This window comes from Homo sapiens, chromosome 15, assembly GCF_000001405.40.
Source record: "Homo sapiens chromosome 15, GRCh38.p14 Primary Assembly".
Classification (NCBI taxonomy): Eukaryota; Metazoa; Chordata; class Mammalia; order Primates; family Hominidae; genus Homo; species Homo sapiens.
The window spans coordinates 85705173-85729166 of NC_000015.10; the positions used below are offsets into that span (position 1 = coordinate 85705173).

Below are 23994 nucleotides of genomic sequence, written 5' to 3' on the forward strand. Positions count from 1 at the left end.
CTCAGACACTCAAACACTGGCCTGAGAGTTTGAATATTGCTGAAACCTTTTTACGTGATAGTGCCACTCCCTTAAAAATCATCATTGCTTAAATCTCTGTAGGGTGTTGGAACTGGTTGGGAAGAAAGGAACAGAAAGAACAGAACTTGGAAACAAATTCTGCCCATAGTGTTCTTGGTCACTTTTGCAGATCAGAATTAGTAGCTGGTTCTCCAGCAAATCTGCCACCTCCTGTGTTGCCCTTAGGTGCCTAAAATATTATAGATTTTCAATAAAACAAAAGAAAAAAAATATACTTTTTTAACTGGATTATAAGACAATAAAATCTTATCTTTAAGTTATCACAAGATGCGATAAATGGATTATGCAAAAGGATATGGAAATGTTTATAAGCAAATCCAAGGAACTTTGAACGACATTAGAGTGTGATGATTTTTTAAAAATTAAAAATTTTTTTTAATTTTGAAAAATGTTAATACAAAGTATTATACATAGGTAATTTATCACATATGTGTCCATGATTCAGAATGAACACATAGTAACATTCTGTCAGACGGCTTCAGATTGTTTCACTTTTTAAGAAACCATTATGGTTAAGTTCAGATTCCCCTTTGTTTCCCTGCCCCATGCATCTTCCTTCCTCCCCAAGGACAAGGACTGTCATGAATTCAGTGCATTCGTAGTCTGTGTTTTATAATTTATTTTCATACATAAACAACATATAATTTGTTTTTGTTTTTAACCTACATAAATACTACCATACAGTACCTCTTTTTGTAATTTGCTTTATTCTCTTCAGCATTATATATTGAGGATTCAGCACGCTGAAAAACATAGATCTACTAATCATTGACTTTGCCTTTTCATAGTCTTTTTATACTTTTTCTGTAGAAGGGAAAGAGAAATGGACTTAAAGATGATGTATTTGAAAGACTTTAGCTGAGTGGGGATTTGTGAAGAGAAAGGGTTTGAGTGGGGTGGGCTTTCAAGTCTGTGCATGGGAAGGATATGATGGATCAACTAATGGGAGAGGAAGAAACCAGAAAGGAGCATGCCAGCTGCAAGTCCTGGGCATCTCTGTGGCAGAGGAGGGGAGGTGCACCATACACCCTGAGTAAGAATAGTGCTCGTGAGGATGGGCAGAAACATGTTTTGGCTTACTAGAAAATAAATAAAGCCGTTTGCCTCGACCACTTTGTTATGCTTCTTGCTGTGGGTCCAGCAGCCTGAAACTCACTTACCCATCTGATAGAATCACAGCAGAGGGAACCTGGGGGAAAATGTGATTCCTCCTTTTTAATTTTATAGATGAGGAAACGGAGGCCTGTCAAGAAGGGACTAGGGTCATACTAGTACATACATACATGCAGAGCCAGGACCTACGTCAAATTTAGTTTGACAGCTGTTTGTCCTTTTGTGTTACTAAATTGATGTTTGACATACTGTAATCAAGGCTGTGTCAGCGCATTCATCTAATTTTAGTTTAAATAGGCATAGTAGGGCCGAGAGAGGAGCATTTGAATAGGATGCATGAGCTAGGCACTATGCTGGAGAGTCTTAATTTGAAGATTCAGCAGTGGGTGAATGGTCCCTGCCCCAGAGAGGGGATAGAGAAAAACCTAAGAGAGTCTCAATACACTGTGCCAGTGGTATTAAGGAGGAGACCTGTGAACCAAGTGGGTGTTAAAGGAAGTGTTACAAAAGGCATGGAATAGGCCTTTGAGGTCTGGGATTCTAGCAGTCTCCTTTCTGGTTTCCTTCCCTCCCCATCATCACTCCAGTCCCCCACAAATCCATGTGTCTGGGCTAAAAGAGATGTTGGCCCAAAAGAGATGTTGGCCCTTAACTGGTGAGTTGATGTAGACAGGACCTGTGATGCTTCCTGAATCAGTCTGTGAGGCATTGCCTAGTGAATGGTATCTGTGGTTGATTTCCTGAGTGAGCCCTTCCCATGAGAGTGTCTCCTCGAGTGTCCCCACAGGCCGATCTTTCATTTGTTTCTGCTTTACCTCTGGCTTCCTGGAACAGTTCTGTTATGTGACTTTATAGCAGCGCTGAGAGCTGATGGTAAGCCTTCTGAGACACAGAGGCTTGGGTTTTTACGTCAGTGGCCCTTGTAGGCCAAGGGAGTGAAAAGTAAAGGAATTGAGATAAAATGCTGTCCTTGCCAAATTGTGGTTTCTGCTTTATCTTTCAAGAAGTCTCCATTTTCTCTTAAGTCACAGTTCCCAGAGGTGCATGTGGGGGTTCCAGTGACCTTTCATGTGTGGTTCCTGTCTCAGAGAATGGGGTGCAAAAAGCCCAGCGTAGTTAAGCTTTTCAGATTTTATATTCTGTGCTTTATTACAGTCATACAAATTTTGTAACCCCTGTTAGGGGCTTTATTAATGTATTTATTTGTAATTTAGACTTACACATTGATGGCAGACACTTTCACTTTTAGTTTTGGTAGCCTCTCAGCTTCCTGTCTGAAAAGTTCCAGACTTACTAGTTTTTGTTGATTAGAAATCACATCTGTTGCTTCCTAAGGGCCAGGAAACTCACCCTTCCCATCAGATCACTTGAGTCGTTGTTCCTCTCATTAAGCTGTAATCTGTCTCCTGGTCTCCAAATAAAGACACAAACACCGAAAAAAAAAAAATCACATCTGCTCGTGTTTTTCCTCCTCCAAATAACATCACAGACCTGCTTCCTAGAAGAGGACTGCAGTGTGTAATTTCAGTCACATTCTCACATGTGAGTGACTTCACTTTGAAATTCAGAGGCCACTTGTGGCAGCAGTGGAAACTCAGAATCTGGGATCTGTTTGCTTTGTCCATGTGACCTTGGGTTTGCTTTCTTTTCAGATTGCAGTGCTTTTGTCCACAAAGGCTGCCGAGAAAGTCTAGCCTCCTGTGCAAAGGTCAAAATGAAGGTAAGACTTTCTGGCTAAAACAAGGCTTAAAATAAAAGGGTTTAAACCAGCAAAATCCTCGGGAGTTGGGAGAGTTGAGGTTGTGGTGGATTTTGTTTATTTTAATCATTTGGTACCAACTTTGAGAACAAATTATAACTAAAAAATATTTTTTCTCTTAAGCGATCAATCTTCTTCTTGAGTAACACTGGAGAATTAGACTTTCAGAAAAGAAAACGCTTTCAGAACTTCTTCACGTTCAATATACATTTCTTCGTGATTTTAATATTTCCGTATTGCTCTTAAAGTGGTTTTCTTCTTAACTACGTCTGCAGGCCTACCCTGCTGTTCATACACCTGTCTTCCTCCTTCAGGACTATCAGGGCAGCAGGTGGAGGTCAGGGGCATTGACCTGCTGGTGGGGGTGGGGAGGGTGTTATGGTTAGCCCCAGCCTGTCTGGTAGCACTTTTCTCCTCAGGTATGTAATATAGGTGGCTCTGATCACATGACGTAAGAATAGAAAGTGCCTGTTTTATGGTGGTATCTGCCCTGAGCATGTATGCTATGTAATCATGCTTTCCCAGTGGCCCTTAAAAAAAAGTGTGGGTTAAGGGCCATACCTTTTAGGTAGCCTGTGAGGTTTTCAATGTTCTAGTCGCCTGTAAGTGTCTCTTCATTCCTTGTCAAAGGAGTGCTTTCCAACTTCGTCGACACAGATGATTAATGAGCTGTGTGCTTCGTCAGTCACCAAACACAGTTATCTAGTGCCATGACCTCAACCTGGAATGTGCATCAGAATCAACTCGAGGGCTTATTGAAAGACAACTTACTGAGCCCCACTCCCAGAGTCTCAGATTCTGGGGGAGAGTCCAGGAATTTGCATTTCTAGTAAGTTCCCAGATGATGCTGATAGTCCGAGGACCTTACTTTGAGAAGCACTAAAACTAGTGTCAAAATGGCAAAGAATAGGATAGCCAGATCTTCTTTAGCCTATGGACACATATTTTGTTTGGCTCATGTAGTATTTTTAAAATGTGAGTTAGTGCAGCTCTTTCAAAATCATGTTTTATATCAGTTTGGATTCTTAAGTTCTCCTGAAAAAACTGGAAGATTTATAACCCTTGGCTCCCTGATATTTCCCTGTACCCAGCACTCCCAGTTTTTCCTTTTTTCCATAGTACTTATCACCTTCTTAGAGTCTGTATTTACCCATCTTTATTTATTATTATATAGTTTTTTATAGTCTGTATCTTCCCCCCACTAGAATATAAGCTCCAAACTCATTAAGCAGGCTGAGGGCAGGAGTTGGCTCCATCAGTGGCGCCTGAGCACCTCACAGGGAGGGAGGGATGGCTGGAGCTGAGTGGTGCTGCCTCCTTTAGACAGGATATGCCAGTTCCAGGCTGCCACTGCCTTCCCACACCCCACCCCACCCCAGCTTGCTTCTGTCATTTGTTGCCTGCCGGCACCATAGTCATTTGAGTTTGTGATCTCTGATAAGACTCAATTGTTGTGAATGTACTAGTTTATACAGAATGATCATGATAGAGACATAGCATCTCCCATATAAGAGAATATAACCTAAAAGGGGGAATTTTATTTTATTTTATTTTATTTTATTTTATTTTATTTTATTTTAGAGACAGAGTCTCACTGTGTCACCCAGGCTGGAGTGCAATGGCACAGTCTTGGCTCACTGCAACCTCCATGTCCCAGGTTCAAGCAATTCTCTTGCCTCAGCCTCCCAAGTAGCTGAGATTACAGGTGCCCGTCACCATGCCCAGCTAATTTTTATATTTTTAGTTGAGACAGGGTTTCGCCATGTTGGCTGGGCTGGTATCAAACTCCTGACCTGAGGTGATCCACCCACCTCAGCCTCCCAAAGTGCTGGGATTACAGGTGTGAGTCACCGCACCCTGCCTGGAATTTCATTTTAAATAGGAAGTAACCTATTTCTTCTAATGATTTATCTCAGATTAATCGCTTCAGTGTATAATCTCTCAAAGTATTTTTGCTACATGGCTACAACGAAAGTATTAACTAAAATTAGTATTTTACCCAATAATTTAGCACCTTATAAATGCTAGTTACTGGAAATGAAATGCAAAAGTCAAAAGATGCTGCCCTTAAGGCACCAGCAATCTACTGGGGAAGACGGACAGTTACTATAAATGAGAAAGGTGCCAGTCACTGCCTTGGGTGAGGAGAGGAGAGAAGCTATAGATGGCTTTACCAAGGAGGCAACCCTTAAATCGTCTTAAAGGGGAAGAATGCCATGCTTCTGAAGGTGAGAAAAGCATTCCAGGCAGGATAGACAGCATCTACGGCATTGGAGTACGTGGCAGGCTTAGAGGATGGCAATTGGGGGCGACCGTGGCTGGGACACAGGGTGCTTAGGGCAGTGCAAAAAGCAGAGTGGGAAAGGAAGCTGAACTGCTTGCTCCCTTCCTACTCGGCTTCTCAGGGCTTGTCAGAGGTGAATTGTCAATGGACTTACTTTCTTTCTCTTTAGCAGCCCAAAGGGAGCCTTCAGGCACATGACACATCATCACTGCCCACGGTCATTATGAGAAACAAGCGTAAGTAGCTCAGCCCACCTCTCAATTCCCTTTCTGACTTTCTGGTTCTGAATGTAAAAATGCTGTTGTAATATTCAGTTATTATTCATAGTCAAGATATGAATACCTATTTTGTGGTAAGTGAGAGAAGGCTGCTGTTTTATCCTGCAGATTCCTTTACCCATATAACATTATACCATCAAACCCTCTTGGAAGGTCTCTAAAACAGTCTGTGTATTAGCTTAAAGGCAGCACCTTTGCCCTGTGTGTTTAAGCAAGTGACCCCTGCGCATCTCAACTTCCTCTTTAATAGTAGTTGAGAATTAAAAGACTTGTTTTTAGTGCCTTACAATCATACAAATCAAATGAGATCTGGCTTGTTAAACTTTTTTTTTTTTATTATTTTTTTGAGACGGAGTCTCTCTCTGTCGCCCAGGCTGGAGTACAATAGCACAATCTCGGCTCACTGCAACCTCCACCTCCCTGGTTCAAGCGATTCTCCTGCCTCAGCCTCCCCAATAGCTGGGATTACAGGCACGCACCACCATGCCCGGCCTAAACTTCTTTCTAAACTGAGAAGTTATAGAAAATAGTTCTTTTTTTTTATTATTTCTAAGGACCTCAAATGTTATTCAGAATTGAGTAAATCACACTCTTCCATTCACATCAAACCATTTTCACCAGTGCATAGAAGACTCCACTTTGGTTTTACTGATACTTTTCCCTTTTCACTCCCCATTCCCTGTCTCATTCCTACTTTAGTATATTTAATGTATGTCCTTCTAATCTGCCATATTTTTAGACATATGTATACTTTGAAAAAAATGTATTATTTTGTGTGAATTTAAATTAGATAATATGACTTATGCTTATATGTTCTGCTTATTTTTTTCACTCAATATTGTTTTGAGATATGCATGTTATTGTACGCTATTGTTTCAGACTATGGCATGGTATTCTTTCATAAGCATATTTCACATTTAAAGTTCCCCTAGAGACAGAATATTTACTTTGCTTCCAGCTACTACCATAAATAATGCAATGATTAATATCTTCTTAGCTGGCTCCATGGGAGCCTCTGTGAGACTTTTCCCAGGCAGTGTTCTTGAAAATGTAGTTTTTTAGAAGTAAAGATTCTTGGGCCCCACCCTGATCTGTGAATCACAAACCGTGGGATGGGACCAGCATTCTGTGTTTTTTTGTGGTGTGTGGGAGTGTGTTTAATAGAGACAGGGTCTTGCTTTGTCACCCAGGCTGGAGTGCAGTGGTGTGATCATAGCTCACTGTAACCTCAAACTCCTGGGCTCAAGAAATCCCCTCACCTCAGATTCCTGAGTTGCTGGCACTCCAGGTGTGCGCCGCTATGCCTGGCTGATTTTTTAATTTTTTTGTAGAGACGGGGTCTCACTACGTTGCCCAGGCTCGTCTCAAACTCCTGGCCTCAAGCAGTCCTCATGCCTTGGCCTCCCAAAGTGCTGAGATAACAGGCATGAGCCACCGCACCCAGCCTGGTCTGTGTTTTAATAGATCCTCCAGGTGATTCTGATGCCCACTCAAGCTTGAAAACCGCTCCTTTATGCCCAGTTTCTCTGAGTACTTCCAGATAGCTCCTGAATGGCTATACTAGTCTACACTCCCAGAAGAGAGTGATTCCCTTTAGATATATTTAATCTGGTTTTTATCCATCTTCACACGTAGATGACTAGAAGAGGAGCTTCTCCAGGTTGATACCCACTTTTAGTCTGTGATCTTACCCATTCCACATACTTTTTATGTCTAGCTTCCTAAAATGCTTTTTTTCTTGTGACATTATCTGTTGTTTCAGAAGTCTGTTTTCTTTCTTATTTTCATGTCTTTCTTAAAAACAAATGCCTATTATGTGCAAGGTTCATGAGTATTACCTTTGATCCCCACAAGTATTTTTTTTTTTTTCCTTGAGACAAGAGTCTTACTCTGTCACCCAGGCTGGAGTGCAGTGGCACAATCTCCACTCACTGCAACATCCGCCTTCTGGGTTCAAGCAGTTCTCCTGCCTCAGCCTCCCAAGTAGCTGGGATTACAGGTGTGAGCCACCACACCCAGCTAATTTTTGTATTTTTACTAGAGATAGGGTTTCACCATGTTGGCTAGGCTGGTGTCGAATTTTTGACCTCAAGGCATCTGTCTGTCTTGGCCTCCCAAAGTGCTGGGATTATAGGCGTGAACCACTGTACCTGGCCCTCCCACAAATATTCTTATTCCTGTTGTACTCCACTGAGGCAACATAGTGGTGTAGAGTACAGATTGTGAATTCTAATTGTATGGATTCAAGTCTGACACCACTGCTTAAGAGCTGTGTAACTGGACATTACCAAACCTCTCTGTGCCTCATTTTCTTCCTCTGTAAAAGGGGACGATAATAGTATCATAGGGTGGTAGTCAGGTTTAAATCAGATCATACCTATAAAGTACTTAGCAGTAAACATTCCTTAAGTGTTAGCTTTCACTGCTATGATCATCACAAATAAGGAAACAGCAATATTGAGTCACTTACTTGGGTAGAATATGGATTGGTTACAAATAAGGAAAGCTGTTATTTTCTTCCCCCCTATGCTGGCTTTTAGATACAAGTTATTATGAGCTCTGCCTAACATCATTCTGCTTTTCCAGCCCTTTCACTGATTCCTTCTACCTGCTTCATCTTCTACTCTGTGTCTCCCTTTTACATTAATACTACATAATTACTTCTGCCTTCATTCCATGGTTCTTCTCATCAGAATTGTCCTCTCTTTTTTCTTCTGACCCATCCACATCCTTGCAATTCTTCAAGAACTAGTGTTTTCTTCCTCCATCAGATTTTATCCGCTCAGTGACCTCCCTTCAGAAACATTCAGGTTATGCTCCAGGCCCTTTAACTCTTAAGCTCATTCTCTTTTCTACCCACTTGCTCTTTTTCTCTTGGGTGGGGGTGGGGGTGGGGGCAGAGGGGTAGGGCCACATCCCATAATCCTTGTGTACTTTCTGCAGCTAGAATCTGGTCAGGTTTTAGAATGTCGGGTTTCTGCTATTTTATTGTGTCATCATCTTGTAAATAGAATTTGAATTGGAAATTAATGATTATATTAATGCTCATTGAGTCAAAGACATCCTGAAATACTGTGAAGTCATAACTACCACCCCAGTCTTATTTCCTTCACCTCTTGACACTCCTGGGGATGGACAGATAATGCAACCTGTGAATGGGACAGCAAGTCCATTACCAGGGAAAAATGTTCCCAAGTGCCAGCGTGACCACTTTAGCAAATTAGATCTCCAGTTTCCTCTTTAGTCATGTTAATGAGAAATATGCACTATGAGAACAATTTAGAATTGACCCTTGAATAACTCGGATGATAGGTGTGCCAGCCCCACCCCCATGCAGTCAAAAATCCACATAAAACTTTTTGACTCCCCCAGAACTTACCTACTAATAGCCTACTGTTGACCAGAAGCCTTACCAATAACATAAACAGTCAATTAATGCATTTTGTTTGTTATGTGTATTATATACTGTATTCTTACAATAAATTAAGCCAAAGGAAAAAATGTTATTTTAAAAATCATAAGGAAGAGAAAATATATTTACTGTTTGTTAAGTGGAAGTAGATCATCATAAAGGTCTTCATCCTTGTCGTTTTCACATTGAGTAGACCAAGAAGGAAGAGGAAGAAAAGAAGGGTTGGTCTTGCTGTCTCAAGGGTGGCAGAGGCAGAAGAAATTCCACATATAAGGGGATCTATGTAGTTCAAACCCATGTTGTTCAGGGGTCATCTGTAGTTACAGGTGTTAAACAAGTGTTAAATTTTCCTCATCTGTAAATTAAAGGAAATCATCAAAATCTATGCTCGCTAGCAGGGAGCGCAGAAGAATCACTTGAGCCTGTAAGATATGTAGACTCTTGGGTTCCACCCCTAGAAGACAAGGGGGGCTGAGATTCCATATCTAACAGGCACTCCAGATGTCTTCATGGTGAACGGTCCTAAAGAACGCTGCTCCCAGTTATCTCTCAGGTTCCTTTTACCCTTAAAATTCTTTCAATCTTGGGGCCAGGTGCAGTGGCTCACGCCTGTAATCCCAGCACTTTGGGAGGCCGAGGCGGGCAGATCATGAGGTCAGGAGTTTGAGACCAGTCTGGCCAACGTAGTGAAACCCCGTCTCTATTAAAAATACAAAAATTAGCCAGGCATGGTGGCGGGTGCCTGTAATCCCAGCTACTCGGGAGGCTGCGGCAGGAGAATGGCATGAACCCAGGAGGCGGAGCTTGCAGTGAGCCAAGATCGCGCCACTGCACTCCAGCCTGGGCGACAGAACAAGACTGCATTTCAAAAAAAAAAGAAATTCTTTCAATCTTATTTGCAGCTTAAATATTAAAATATGTAATACTCCCACAGGATTCTTTATCCCCGTTGCCTGTCCCACCCCAGAGGTAACCACTCTTCTTAGTTTTTTTTGTTTATTTTCCTGGAGTTCGCTTGTTAAAGTAAATACAACTTGGATTATTTTTCTTTCTTTTAAGCATGAAAGATAGCCTGTTATATACTTTGTTCTGCACTTTGATTTTCCTCCCCTTAATAGATCTTGGAGATAGATCTATCTGTGTCAGTACTTGGAAAGTGTCCTTATTTTTTGTAAGTGGCATTGTATTCTGCTGTGTGGTGTAGTATAACTTATTCACCAGTCTTCTTGTGATACTCATGTCATTTTCAGTCTTTTGCTTTTACCAATGGTGTTGCATTGAATAACTTTGGACATAACATCATTTCACGAATATGCAGGTATATCTTGTAAAATAAACATAGCCTAAAAGTGAAATTGCTGGATCGAAGAATATAGGCATTTACAATTTCAATAGTTATCACCAAACTATCCTCCATGGAGTTTTTATACAAACTTACAGTTCCAGGGCAAATCCACTGTAAAGCGCCTTACTTCTGCTTGTTATTTGTCAGATGGGTCAGTACCAGGTGGAGCTGGATGGGTGATGCTTCAGTTAGTGTCCTCTCCTCCATGGAGTTTTTATATAAACTTACAGTTCCAGGGCAAATCCACTGTAAAGCGCCTTACTTCTGCTTGTTATTTGTCAGATGGGTCAGTACCAGGTGGAGCTGGATGGGTGATGCTTCAGTTAGTGTCCTCCTTTTGCAGCCTCACAGCCCAAGGAGCGTCCTCGGTCCGCAGTCCTCCTGGTGGATGAAACCGCTACCACCCCAATATTTGCCAATAGACGATCCCAGCAGAGTGTCTCGCTCTCCAAAAGTGTCTCCATACAGAACATTACTGGGTAAGTGGAGATATTTAAAGATAGCACAGTTGGCATCTAGGTGACCAGAGCATAATAATCACATCATATGACAAAAAGCTTTTTTTTTTTTTTAAGAAATAAATCTATAAGGTCATGGGTTGGTGCAGACAAGGACGATGGGGATTATGTTTCTGATGCATGTCATGATGGTCATTCTGTCGCAAGGATCTCCTTTAAATACCCTTAGCAGGCTGGTTGCTGTAGGCTTTTTGTATATCATCAGCCCTACTTTTGAAGAATCTGAGTTCTAAAAAGATGATTTTTTAGATCAAAATAAGTAGGAATAGGAAAAAGGGTGATTTAATTCAGAATTTTGGGTTGCAACCACTTACAGATGTCATGCTTTTCTGTTGTTCAAGTAAACCTGGTTGTTTTGTTTCTTCTTACCTCTGTTTTACATCTTTGCCTTTTAACACTTAAGTCAGTTTCATGGAGGTGAGTGCTGAGCCAATTATTACTATTAGGTTCTCACTCACTCGTTTGCACTGAGTTTCTTTTCTGGTCTCCTGGCCAGGCCTTGGCTGTCAAGTGGTTAGCAGGGGGCTGATAATGATGTTGCTGACTATTTTGGGTAAGATGCCTGCCTTCCCGTCGGGTGAATAAGCCATTTCAAATGTAGGACTCAGAGTATCTCTTTAACCTATCTTGGAGCAAAATTCCTAACTAAAGGATGCAAAAGTCTCCTTTTGTTTGTAATTCCTAACCTCTGTGCTGGCTAATGTTTTCTCCTCCTCTAAAAAGTTTCAGGTATTTTTGTTTTGTTTTGTTTTGTTTTGTCTTTGTATTCTCATTATTTCCAAAAGTGTACTTTTCAAAAGTTGTAACATTACTAAAGTTTGTATGCATTGTAACTTTCAAAAGTTGGTCTTTAAAGTGTTCTTGCTATTGTGTCTACTCACACATCAATTGGGTGCCTGCTGTGCTAGCTGGTGAGTTGGGATTGAGAAAGTCCAAAGAGAACATAGTTGATTGTAAGTGCTAGATCTGTAGTTATCTAGAGAACAGAAAAAACAGTGTATTGGTTAGGCAATAAGTTTTAAACAGAAAGTTTCTTATATAATGTGTACATGGTTTGATGGAAGAAAGTTCCCCTTGCTTCTTATCACTTTCTTTAAAAAGGCTCAAAAAGTCCTCAGAATTTGAGTCTCCAGTGATACTAAATGCTCCCGACTTTGTTACCAGGCCATGTGCATGTTGCTGTGGCCCCGACATAAGCAATTTGTCTTCAGTCACTGTAGTACTTCCAGCCAGTTGTCATTCTAGAGTCTTCAGGTACTCATTTAAGAATGCAAGCCATAGGTTATCAGAATGTATTTGACAGTATGTATTTTTCTTTTGTCCCCAGAGTTGGCAATGATGAGAACATGTCAAACACCTGGAAATTCCTGTCTCATTCAACAGACTCACTAAATAAAATCAGCAAGGTCAATGAGTCAACAGAATCACTTACTGATGAGGGTAAGAGGAAGTTATGGCCTTTATTTTATGCCTCTGTAGGGACTGTGTGTGTGTCATTACCTAGAACATAAGTCTTAATGGAGTGACAGTACCTGCCTCTTCTGTATCCCGTGAAGATTCTCTAAATTGTCAGTAAAGTGTCCAGTGCTTTGTCATGACTGCGTAATCAGACTCATCCAGCAGCTGTCAAGTGAAGGATGTCATTTATTTCGATGTGGGCCTACTCTTTAGTACAAATCTTTTCCTTCCCTTAGACTTTTTTACATGTACAGTTCTAGCTCACAGAGCAATTGTAAGCCTGCTCTCTTAAATATGAAAAGGTACCAGGTCCCTTCCAATTCTTAACTTCGTGTAGATAGAAGTCATGTCTTAATCATGTTTGATTTATGTCATGTTTATTACTGTTAACCTAAGTCTCGAATGTAGAGTCTGTCACTCCTGAACAGGATATTGATTTTTTTCTGGTACTAGAATATGATCTCTGTGAATATCCCCTGTATTCATGTGTCTTATGAAATCAACTATCATCTTGAGGAAAGTCCAACATAGGCTTATTTTACAGGTCACAAACCTGATTCTGATATTGATTTTTTGATATATTGAGGAGTAGGTACAGACATGAATGAAGGACAACTACTGGGAGACTTTGAGATTGAGTCCAAACAGCTGGAAGCAGAGTCTTGGAGTCGGATAATAGACAGCAAGTTTCTAAAACAGCAAAAGAAAGATGTGGTCAAACGGCAAGAAGTAATATATGGTGAGAGTCTTCATTTTGCTCTGATTATATTTGATTTCCATTGTCCAGCATTTTTAAGCAGTAATTTGTTGGACTATGAAAAATCAGTTTTTTAGTATGTGGCTTCTTGAAAAGATTTCCTTTAAAAACTTTAAGGTACAGAGACGTGGTCCTGTTGGTATCCTATCTCCTTTTTGCCCCACTCTTCTGTTTTCAGTTCTACTGAACATTGTACTTATATGTGAGTACTTATTTATACAGCAGTCCTAGAAAGAGATATCTCAGTTTTTTTCCTTACCTACACTAAAAACTAGACTAAACACAAGTCATTTCTGAGAACTGGGTATACAGTCAGTTACGACAGGTGCTGAATCCAGTGAAGACCTCTTTGGAAGTCATAATTTAAGACTGATGGAATCCGGGGTACCTATTATCAGAAAATAGGACACGTGAAAAATAGAGGAATAAGACGAAAACACTTGACCAGGCTCAGCGGCTCATACCTGTAATCCCAGCACTCTGGGAGGCTGAGGCGGGTGGATCACTCGAGCCCAGAGTTCAAGACTAGCCTGGGAACATAGTGAAACCCCATTTCTATAAAAAATACAAAAATCAGCCAGGCGTGATGGCATGTACCTGCAGCCCCAGCTGCTCGAGAGGCTAAAGCAGAAAGATCGCTTGAGCCCAGGAGGTTGAGGCTGCAATGAGCCATGACTTCAGCCTGCACTTCAGCCTGGGTGACAGAGCCAGAACCTGTCTTAAAAAAAAAACAAAAAAACAAAAAAACGAGAACACTTTTAGGGGAAAGATAGCTGTTGACCCAATTTTAAGGTTCAAATTGGGCTCTAAACTAGCTTTGGGACTGCAGCAGATGATCTTTGAGGGCGAATGCTTATAAAAGAGTGTTCCTGACACTTGATCTTTTTCCTCCTTTTAGAGTTGATGCAGACAGAGTTTCATCATGTCCGCACTCTCAAGATCATGAGTGGTGTGTACAGCCAGGGGATGATGGCGGATCTGCTTTTTGAGCAGCAGATGGTAGAAAAGCTGTTCCCCTGTTTGGATGAGCTGATCAGTATCCATAGCCAATTCTTCCAGAGGATTCTGGAGCGGAAGAAGGAGTCTCTGGTGGATAAAAGTGAAAAGAACTTTCTCATCAAGAGGATAGGGGATGTGCTTGTAAATCAGGTGAGAATGGGAAGGATCTCAGGTTCTTACATACACTGGGAAAAAGGGAAGTCATGGGGTTCCACAGCCATGCATTCACATCTTCTTTCTACCATTTATTATCTGTGTAAGCTCAGGGAACTTATTTAATTTCTCTGGAGCCTTGATTTCCTTTTCTGTAAAATGCAGACAGTAGGGTTTCTCTCCTAATGTTATTTTGGAAAGTTAAAGGGAGGGTATATATAAAGTACCTAATGCATATGATAGATGCTCAGTAAAACTTAGTTTTTCTTCCTCAGAGTCTGTGCCATCATCAGAAACAGTATAGTTTAAGAAATCAATTAATATGGCCAGGCACAGTGGCTCATGCCTGTAATCCCAGCACTTTGGGAGATGAGGAGGGCGGATCACTTGAGGTCAGGAGTTCAAGACCAGCCTGGCCAACATGATAAAACCCTGTCTCTACTAAAAATACAAAAATTAGCCAGGCGTGGTGGCATATGGGAGACTGAGATATAAGAATCGCTTGAACCTGGGAGGCAGAAGTTGCAGTGAGCCGAGCTCATGCCACTGCACTCCAGCCTGGGAGACAGAGTGATACTCTGTCTCAAAAAAAAAAAAATTGAAAATTATTTAAATATTTGGGGCTGGGCACACTGGCTCACACCTGTAATCCCAACAGTTCGGGAGGCTGAGGCGGATGGATTGCTTGAAGCCAGGTGTTCAAGACTAGCCTGGCAACGTACCAAGAGCTGTCTCTACAAAAAAAAGTGAAAAAATGAGCCAGGTGTGGTAGTGCACACTTGTGGTCCCAACCACTCAGGAGCCCGAGGTGGGAGGATCACTTGAGCCTAGGAGTTCAAAGTTGCAGCGAGCCATGGTGATGCTCGTGCCACTGTACTCCAGCCTGGGCGAGAGAGTGAGAGACCCCAGCTCAACATTTAAAAACAAACTCTGTGTGTGTGTGTGTGTGTGTGTGTGTGTGTTGGAAATCTTCAACTTTCCCCTCTGCCTCAAATCAGAAGGATCTCATGTGTCTAAAAACCAGCTGAAGCACAGAAAGTTGAATAAGTGACTATCTGTAAAATGCTTAATAAAATATGTATTGTTGATACTTTCATCAAGGTGTGGTATGGTTTTAGTCATACTCCAAAAAATTCAGCTAAAATTACTTTGGTACTTGTAGATGTGATTGTCATAGACAGATTTTAATGTTTCTTTTTAAAATATTCTTCTTGAAAAACACATTGCCAGTATAACCTTTACAGGCAGAGGGGTATATAACATGTACATCTGACTAGGTATTTCCCCAAAGATGCAGATTCCCCAAAGATGCAAATTCCCCAAAGATTTTGGGCAAATATCTGCTGCTGTGTAGAAGCAGAGGCTTAATTGTTGGAACATTTGTCTGAGAATTGTAAATTTTGTCTTTCCTTTGTGTTCTTGAGCCCATACCCCTCACTTCATTAATTTATTAGCACATTCACTCATTCATTTTTCAGGTATTTACTGAGCATCTATTAAATGCCAGGTAGAACTACAAAGGGGGATATGGCTTAGGCCTCTGCCTCAGGGAACTCCTAGGAGTAAAAGTAAGCATGTTATGAAATAAATGCAAATGCAGTGCGGTAAATGAACACAGATAGCTGCAACAGATAGAGCTCAAAATTAAGACCTACAAGTGATGACTTTTCCTCCTGAAACATCCCCTTGGGCATTTCCATTTCTCTCTCTCTGCCCCTCCTCTCTGGTTTCATCTAACTTTTACTTTCTCTAACTTAGTACTTCATCAAACTTTGACTTGTATTACCATTTGTACCTCCTTGTACTTGTGTACAACCCCTAGTAAGATCTTTGGTGCTAGAATTCACAGTTTAACTCATAGTATCCGTTTGCTCGTTCTGTGTGCCAGTGGTAGGATCAACCTTTGGGGCATTTGCTTTGTCATATGAGCAGATAACTTACCGTCCCTCTGTCTCAGCTCCTCCATTGGTAAATGGTGAAGTGAAAATCTACCCTGATCCTTCTTTCCAGTTTTTTGGTAAGGATCAATTTGTGTTGCCTCTGGAGGTTTGTAGTACATGGAAATCAATAATTAGCATGTATTTTATGAACTGCATACAGAAATTCATTGATTTAGTGCAAAGTGAACATACCTTTAGAGGAATCATTGAGATTGCACACATTTGGGAATGATTTAAGGGCCTCATAGAATTATTAGGACTGCTGGCCTGAAGTAAGTAGTACAAACAGATACCTAGGTATGATGGCTGTTTGTCATGTCTGTCTAACTTATCAAGGTCAGATATTTAAGATTGTCTCATGAAAAACTCCTAGTGAATCTCATTGTTTTATTACTCTGTTTATGACAAATAGAAGTTAGAATACATTTTGCATTTTCCGTGTGCACAGTACATAAAGTTTCTTTAATTTTTTGTTGTTTTTCAAATCTGTATAACAGCTTTATTGAGATTTAATCCATATGCCATATAGTCTACCCATTTAAAGTTGAACCTCTTGAGTAACTGCCAGACTGCTTTCCAAAGCTGCTGCACCATTTCATTCTTTTGGGAGAATTTATGAGGAAGCGCTCTTGACTTTTACAACTAGACTGGAAACATTTTACAAAATGGTATTATGAGTTTGGCGCCCCATGGCATAACTTCTGTTCTCTTTTCTCTGCAGTTTTCAGGTGAGAATGCAGAACGTTTAAAGAAGACATATGGCAAGTTTTGTGGGCAACATAACCAGTCTGTAAACTACTTCAAAGACCTTTATGCCAAGGATAAGCGTTTTCAAGCCTTTGTAAAGGTATTGATAAGAAACATGAAAATCCCCGTTATTGTTGAGAGCCATGTGTCCCTGTCGGCTTTCACTAGAGCCTTTTTCATGTGATTCCTCACAGTCTGTTTACTCCCTTGCAGAAGAAGATGAGCAGTTCAGTTGTTAGAAGGCTTGGAATTCCAGAGTGCATATTGCTTGTAACTCAGCGGATTACCAAGTACCCAGTTTTATTCCAAAGAATATTGCAGTGTACCAAAGGTAAGTCTCCTTTCTAACTCGGTCTTGTATGGTCATGGACTGTTTCCTCTGTGGCCAGTAGTACTGGAAGCCCCATGGAAGTGCTATTTCATGCTTTAGTATGTCTAAAAGAGACCTTGTGTTTTATCTTGAATTTTGTTGAATGAAAATTTGGACTGTTATGTTACCAGACTTAGGATAGATGATAGCAAGAAGGAAAGGGAACACATTGATTCCATCCAGAGTTCAATGACCTGAACAGTATTCTGTTATCACTAGGCTGGGAGATAATTTCCACTAGTTATTCCCAGAAGTGCTAGAATTGCTGCTGTTTTTCACTTAATCAGTAATTACTGGTTTCTCTCTCTTGGCTAATTCTGTTCCTAGGTAGTTATTTTAAAGATTACAAGGCAGTACATTAAAAATTAAGTAAAACAAATAAAAAAAAAAAAACTTGGTTGCTCTTCCTGCTATTACTGTCCCTCCTAGAAGTCTTTAGTTCCTTTTATTTCAGAGCACAACATATGATTGCATATTATTTATATCATTGAAAACTTCTGACTTTTTTTAGAATCAAACTTATGACAGCAAGAAGGATAGGCACATGATCTCTGACGTGTTGGCTTCCCTCTGATAGCATAGTCACAAAGGGAAAAGATGATATGGAGTGAGAAGTCAGGATTCCCTTGCTTCTGCCCTTGTCCAAAAAGAGCCATAAAAAACAGAATTATTCTTTCCTTCCAAGACAATGAAGTGGAGCAGGAAGATCTAGCACAGTCCTTGAGCCTGGTGAAGGATGTGATTGGAGCTGTAGACAGCAAAGTGGCAAGTTATGAAAAGAAAGTGCGTCTCAATGAGATTTATACAAAGACAGATAGCAAGTCAATCATGAGGATGAAGAGTGGTCAGATGTTTGCCAAGGAAGATTTGAAACGGAAGAAGCTTGTACGTGATGGGAGTGTGTTTCTGAAGAATGCAGCAGGAAGGTTGAAAGGTAAGGCTTGGCTCTTTTGTCTTAAGTATGTGCCCAGGTAAAACAGGCAAAAATCCAAGTGCTTTTGTTGGAAATTCACTACCAGATTTTTTTCCCAGAGAGCCCATCTCTAAACACTACCCAGGAGCAACAAGCATTTAGTTCTTCGTAATCTTATATCAAAAATGGTTTGTGATGGCCTGCAAAATCATACAAAATAGAGGAAGAAGACAAAGAAATGATGCAGTCAGGGAAAATGGAAAATAAGGTTTTAAAAAAACAAAGCAAAGCGTAAGATTGGTGCACATATGCAAGCTGTCAAGGAAGGTGTATTCCCCTATAAGAGATGGACAGCCAGGTTGGAATTGGGATCTGTGGCAAAACTCACAAGGAGGGAGACACAGTCAGCGAGTTTCACAGAATCTGTGAGTTCAAAACACATCACTTGTTCACAAGAGATGTTAGAGGAGTTTGCAGCTCCAGACACCTAATAGAAAGTTAAGTTTAACCCACATCAATTAGATTTTTTTATTGTTATAATTTATGATATTCGTATATCTTTAAAGCAAAATAAATCATAAAGGATGCCCATTTTCCATTTGGTTTTAATTTTTACATTTCTAATAGTCAGCCGTATCAAGTTAAAGAAGCTATGAGGCTTGTTTTTTAATTTATGTGTACATTTGATTTTTTTTGTTTGTTTTCATCAAACCTATACTCCATGGGCCTATATGTTACACCAATAGCCTTGAATTATACCCACCCCGTCGCCCTGGCCTCAGTGAGCTGAGGACATTGAAGCAGGGTAGGCCAGTACTGTCAGCCTCACTGGCATAGAAAGAAGGTGGAGGAAATGGGTGCTGCTTTCATTTCTGAGGTATAAGTGATGATGTAGATAACTGCTATAGGAAATGCCCACGCATAGAACAAATGGTAAAGAAGTTCCAGGCAGTCAGCTGGTTTCAACAATGAATAAAGCAGGACACCCTGCTTAGAAGTTGAAATCAAAATGAAGAGCCTTGGAAAGAGATACCTGCTCTACAGTGTGGTGAGTGCTGGAATGGAGGAGAAAGCAAGAGGAATAGCAATAGAGTCAAGTCTTGAAGGATGACGGCACATAAGGAGAAAGTGTTCCCCACACTAAGGAAGAGAAAGTGGAAGCACAGAGTTGAAAGGGTGTGGCACATCCAGGGAAGAGTGGACACCCGGGACTCTCACGTGAGAGAGCAGAGTGAATGACAGGGGAGTGACGGGAAACCAGCCCAAAGAAACGGGAGGGGCCAGGTTGTAATGAGGTGCATTCTCCAGACTGAGGAGTTAACAGTTGATACTATTGATGAGGGAAGGGGGCAAAGAATGGGTTCAAAAACGAGAACGGCAAGCAGGAGAGGGATACATGAGGTGGTTTTTCAGTATGACAACTAGGGGCAGTTTAGAGTGCAGCTGGAGTGAAGAGAGACTGGTGACAGATAAGAGACTGTGCAGTGCTTTGGGGAAGAGCTCATCTGGGCCTGCATTGTAGCAGAAGGCATAAAAAAGAAGGGCAGAAAAGATTCAGAGAAAGAAATCTCCTTTCCCACCACCAGCTGGCTGTGTATTTCATGGTTCTGTGATAAACTTAAACTAAGGCTCCTTCCCTCCAGTCTTAATATTCCATGATGTTCTGAGAGCCCTAGCTCTCTTTGAGACTTTTACGCTGTCTGGCAGTTCAGAAATACCTGCCCCTTCTTGTAAAGGCCTGAATTTCCTAGAGCTGCTGTTGCCTGGATCCAGCGCTTTATTCTTTCCTTTACATAGCAATTTATTTATTCCCAAAATAAAAACTAGTAGATTCCAGCTGTTGCAATAAAGTTGTGGTCAAGCCAGCGGCAGAACGATAGGTTTTCTGGCCTAGAATGCCTCCTGTAGAGATAGGAGTTGGTGTTTAGTCATTTTCACCCCCAAGTGAATTCATGCCAAGAACAGCCAGTACTATGTTGGGTACTCTTTGAAAGGGGTGGGATTGTTTTTCTCTGATCCACTGACACTGATCATATAAACTTCAAGATTCAATGAAGTTAAAATGTGTGTCTCTGCTTTTTTGGGGGGAGGGGGAGGGTGCAGGCACCTGAATTATTTAAAAGTAAACTTTAAAAAAAAAACTTTTTCATAACTGATGGCAGTACACAGAAAATTGCAGTAGTTTAGCCTAAAAAAATTAGACCTCCCTAGGAATCAGATGTCCTTGCTTCTGTTTTCTTCATAGCTTTGCAGTGAATTCCACAGAAAGGGGATTTCAGTTGCGGCAGAGGTAGAAGAAAAGGTGGGGCATGGACTGCATAAATCAGTTCCATCCTTTCCCAGGGAATTGTGGACTTCACTTTCCACAGTGAAGATGTTACATAGGGGCCAACCTGCTAGCTCGAGATAGACTCAACTCCAGAGACATCAAACCATCCTCAGGAGACTAGTGGAAAATGTTACTACCTACTCCTAGAGGATTAGTCAGAGCTAGAGTTTAAGCTGACTATTGCATATGGAGCTGAGGAAAGAGCCCTATATTCACATGTACCTGTAAGACTGGAAGGCGCCTGCCTGTGTGGCCACTCTTTGTTCTTTTGAGGGCATGGAAGACGTCTTTTCATTAGACTTAGATATTTCTATACTTCATCTTTGGGCAGCATTCCTGTCTCCTGCCCCACACCTTTCCCATTACTGTAATTAGAAGTCGAAAAATATTGCAATCTGAGTATTTTTTGGAGTATCCTGCTATGTGTTGCTGTTTAACATCTGTACAAGTCCAGCTTTTCAGCTTTATTCTTAAAAGTATTTTATTCTTAAAATCTTGTCTTATGGGATATATCTTTCTAGGACTGAGTACTTAAACTTTTCCAAAACAAGGCTTTGGTGATAAATCCCATTTTAAAATGCTGCTAAAAATCTGGTGACCAGATCTGAATCCTGGAGAACTGTAAAACTGTTGCTTTGGAGGAGTGTGATCTCAGATCATAGTTTGCCCGTATAGGGGTGTATGTGTTGCTGAAACACCCTTCAATAAAAAACCTTCTGACTGTGGGTAACTATTAAGTAGTCATCGTTTTATCTTCCCTTCTCCCATTTCCATTTTCCAGAGGTTCAAGCAGTTCTTCTCACTGACATTTTAGTTTTCCTTCAAGAAAAAGACCAGAAGTACATCTTTGCATCATTGGTAAGCTGAATTGTTATTTTTGTAATAGTATTATAAGCAGCTAGTTTAGTTATGGAATGTAAGCACTATGTTATTGCTCTCCCCCGCCCTCTTAAAATTAAATGGCTCAGGACAAATTCCTCTGAGTAATTTCCCACATGCCCTCAGAATTTTCTGGCATCCCCTCTTCCCAAAAAATTATTATTCTGTTTCATCACAGTCTTCTTTTAGTGTCTTGGACATCTGACTATTTGATCTATGAAGAAACCTGGTCACTGGAGCATTTCTCACATTTGAGCCCATAAATGGTGCTCATGTATAATATTGCTGACTGGATTCTTTGGGGAACCTGGAAAGATTCATCGTGTGGAAAACATGACTGGAACCTTTAGAGCCATAAATTACTATTTCCCTTTTGAAATCTTTTTTTGTTAAAATCTGAATGAAATAAGGAGATACTTCTCTTTATCCTAAAGTAGCCCTTGTTTTTCAAACTATGTGCTTTTTTAACAGCATCTGGTCTTACCTTAGATTGAAGCTGTCCTTCAGAGTTAGAATATTGTATATGTATCTTTTATTTGCCCTCTTCCCTTTTTCCAGGACCAGAAGTCAACAGTGATCTCTTTAAAGAAGCTGATTGTGAGAGAAGTGGCACATGAGGAGAAAGGTTTATTCCTGATCAGCATGGGGATGACAGATCCAGAGATGGTAGAAGTCCATGCCAGCTCCAAAGAGGAACGAAACAGCTGGATTCAGATCATTCAGGACACAATCAACACCCTGTAAGTTAACCACCAGGCCCCACCCTTCCCAGCCCTCCTGATGTCTCTGTGTGATTTCATAACAGGCTGGACTGTGACCAGAGTAATTGACATCTTAGGAATTTTTTGTTCTGTCTTGTTTGGGTTGTATTAGGAACAGAGATGAAGATGAAGGAATTCCTAGTGAGAATGAGGAAGAAAAGAAAATGTTGGACACCAGAGCCCGAGAATTAAAAGGTGAGGCATTGCGAGTGGTCTGAGCCCCTTGTCTGGAATGTCTGCAGTTGCAGAAGACTGCTGGTGGATTTTAGAGGTACGGGTTTGCCCTCAGTTCTAAAGCTGCCCCAGCAGGCACTTGAAAGCAGCAAAATGAATAGCTGTTAACAAAAGAGAAACCAAGGCCAGGCTGACATGGGTCCTCGTAAAGAATGGCTGCAAGGATGTTTCCAGTACTGGATCAAGAGAATATTGATTCTCTTGACTCAGGATCCGTGTTCTCAAACCTCATGACATTCTCTGTACTTTGTCACAGGCGAATTTGCCAAAATTTGTAGTCACATCTAAGATTAAAACAAGGAGAGAAAGGAATTTGGGGAAAAGAATTCTCCAGTTAATCTGATTTAATCCTCCCCCAGTCCCTAGCGTTATCACTTATCCGCATGTTTACAAATGAGTTGTGAGGTGAAGTTTTGGGAGCAGGGTATGTATCAATCTATGTTTGACCCTTATTTATTGAGTGCTGACTGTTTTGTGTAGTCTTGTCAGTATCCCTGCAACACAGGCATTCTAATCCCCATTGTGCCGATGAGACAGTCGAGGCCCACAGAGGACAAGCTACCCAGGGTTAACGTGTGTAGTTAGTGGGTAAGCCAGAATTCTATTCCCTGTCTTAGCAAAGCCTGGTACTCACGTATGTAGTTAGTGGCTAAGCCAGAATTCTATTCCCTGTCTTAGCAAAGCCTGTTGCTCTTTTCTCTTTGCCAGTGGCTTATCGAATGTTTCAAAGTAAAGACTATGCTTTGGATAGAAATAAGGCTTAGAGTTAAATAAATGTAAGCACCTAAGGAGTTTGGTTAGGCCTTAAAGCCATACAGATGATAGCATTCTGTCTCACTGAGGGGGAAATTAAAAATATGGACAGCTTTAGACCAGAGCCAGAGTTATAGCAAATTTATTGGCCCATGATTAGGATGACAAGGATAAAAATCTTCCTTCTTTAAATTTTGTCAAGTACCTGGCTAGGCATACTGCTAGGTACAACAGATGCAAAGATTCCTTAAAAAGAGCCCTTGCCCTTGAGAAGCTCACACCCTAGCAGGGGAGACATACATCAATGATGGGCCACACAGTGATTTATTAGACCACAGGCACAATTAGCATGTGTGGGATCTGCTCATCCTGCCTCTAGTAAGTCTCACAGAGAAGCTGGTGCATGAGCTACATCTGAAAAAAATTATCTCAGCACACAAGAGTGGTTATGTGCAAAGGTGAAAAAGGACTTGACATGTCTGCCAAGGAATGACAGGTTCGGTGTGTCTGGAGGGTCAGGGCTAAGGGATGGGATCTTAAGCTGGAAATGCACCAGGTATTAAAAGGCAACAAGGGACTCATGTAATTAAAAAAAAAAATTTTTTTTTTTAACATGTTGAAGATAGTTAGGAGAGTTGCTTGAGGGAATGGGAAGCCACTGGAAGTACAAAGACCATTTGGAAGACTGTTAGGATAGGTTAAGTGAGAATGAGCTGGAGAAGGAAGAGATGTAAGAAATAAGGTCATTAAAATCTGATCAGTTGGCCAGGCTCGGTGGCTCATGCCTGTAATCCCAGCACTTTGGGAGGCCACGGCGGGCGGATCACAAGGTCAGGAGTTCGAGACCAGCCTGACCAACATGGTGAAACCCCATCTCTACTAAAAATACAAAAATTAGCTGGGCGTGGTGG

The 23994-nt window shown here is 41.0% G+C and overlaps 1 protein-coding gene across 3 annotated transcripts in view, besides 3 other annotated features; it reads left to right on the forward strand.

The window, feature by feature from the left end:
• Positions 1-23994, forward strand: part of AKAP13 (A-kinase anchoring protein 13) — a 368756-nt gene that overhangs the window by 324570 nt on the left and 20192 nt on the right. For 2 of the 3 annotated variants that reach the window (NM_007200.5, NM_006738.6), the window contains exons 18-29: positions 2847-2914; positions 5407-5473; positions 10616-10751; positions 12118-12230; positions 12835-12987; positions 13904-14154; positions 16819-16944; positions 17058-17175; positions 17900-18148; positions 21238-21314; positions 21894-22075; positions 22209-22291. In NM_007200.5, the coding sequence (NP_009131.2) occupies positions 2847-2914; positions 5407-5473; positions 10616-10751; positions 12118-12230; positions 12835-12987; positions 13904-14154; positions 16819-16944; positions 17058-17175; positions 17900-18148; positions 21238-21314; positions 21894-22075; positions 22209-22291 (1623 nt within the window). The remainder of the gene's footprint in view (positions 1-2846; positions 2915-5406; positions 5474-10615; positions 10752-12117; positions 12231-12834; positions 12988-13903; positions 14155-16818; positions 16945-17057; positions 17176-17899; positions 18149-21237; positions 21315-21893; positions 22076-22208; positions 22292-23994) is intronic. The other variant, NM_001270546.1, reaches the window with a different exon arrangement.
• Positions 2176-2485: an enhancer, noted in NCBI's record as "active region_10023". NCBI's record gives its function as "activates an Ori minimal core promoter by ATAC-STARR-seq in GM12878 lymphoblastoid cells {active_cell/tissue: GM12878}" and the evidence as "EXISTENCE:reporter gene assay evidence [ECO:0000049][PMID:35858748]".
• Positions 3458-3587: an enhancer, noted in NCBI's record as "active region_10024". NCBI's record gives its function as "activates an Ori minimal core promoter by ATAC-STARR-seq in GM12878 lymphoblastoid cells {active_cell/tissue: GM12878}" and the evidence as "EXISTENCE:reporter gene assay evidence [ECO:0000049][PMID:35858748]".
• Positions 21195-22394: an enhancer, noted in NCBI's record as "BRD4-independent group 4 enhancer chr15:86269598-86270797 (GRCh37/hg19 assembly coordinates)". NCBI's record gives its function as "activates an origin of replication core promoter dependent on BRD2, P300/CBP, MED14 and CDK7 cofactors, and independent of BRD4, by STARR-seq in HCT116 cells {active_cell/tissue: HCT116}" and the evidence as "EXISTENCE:reporter gene assay evidence [ECO:0000049][PMID:35650434]".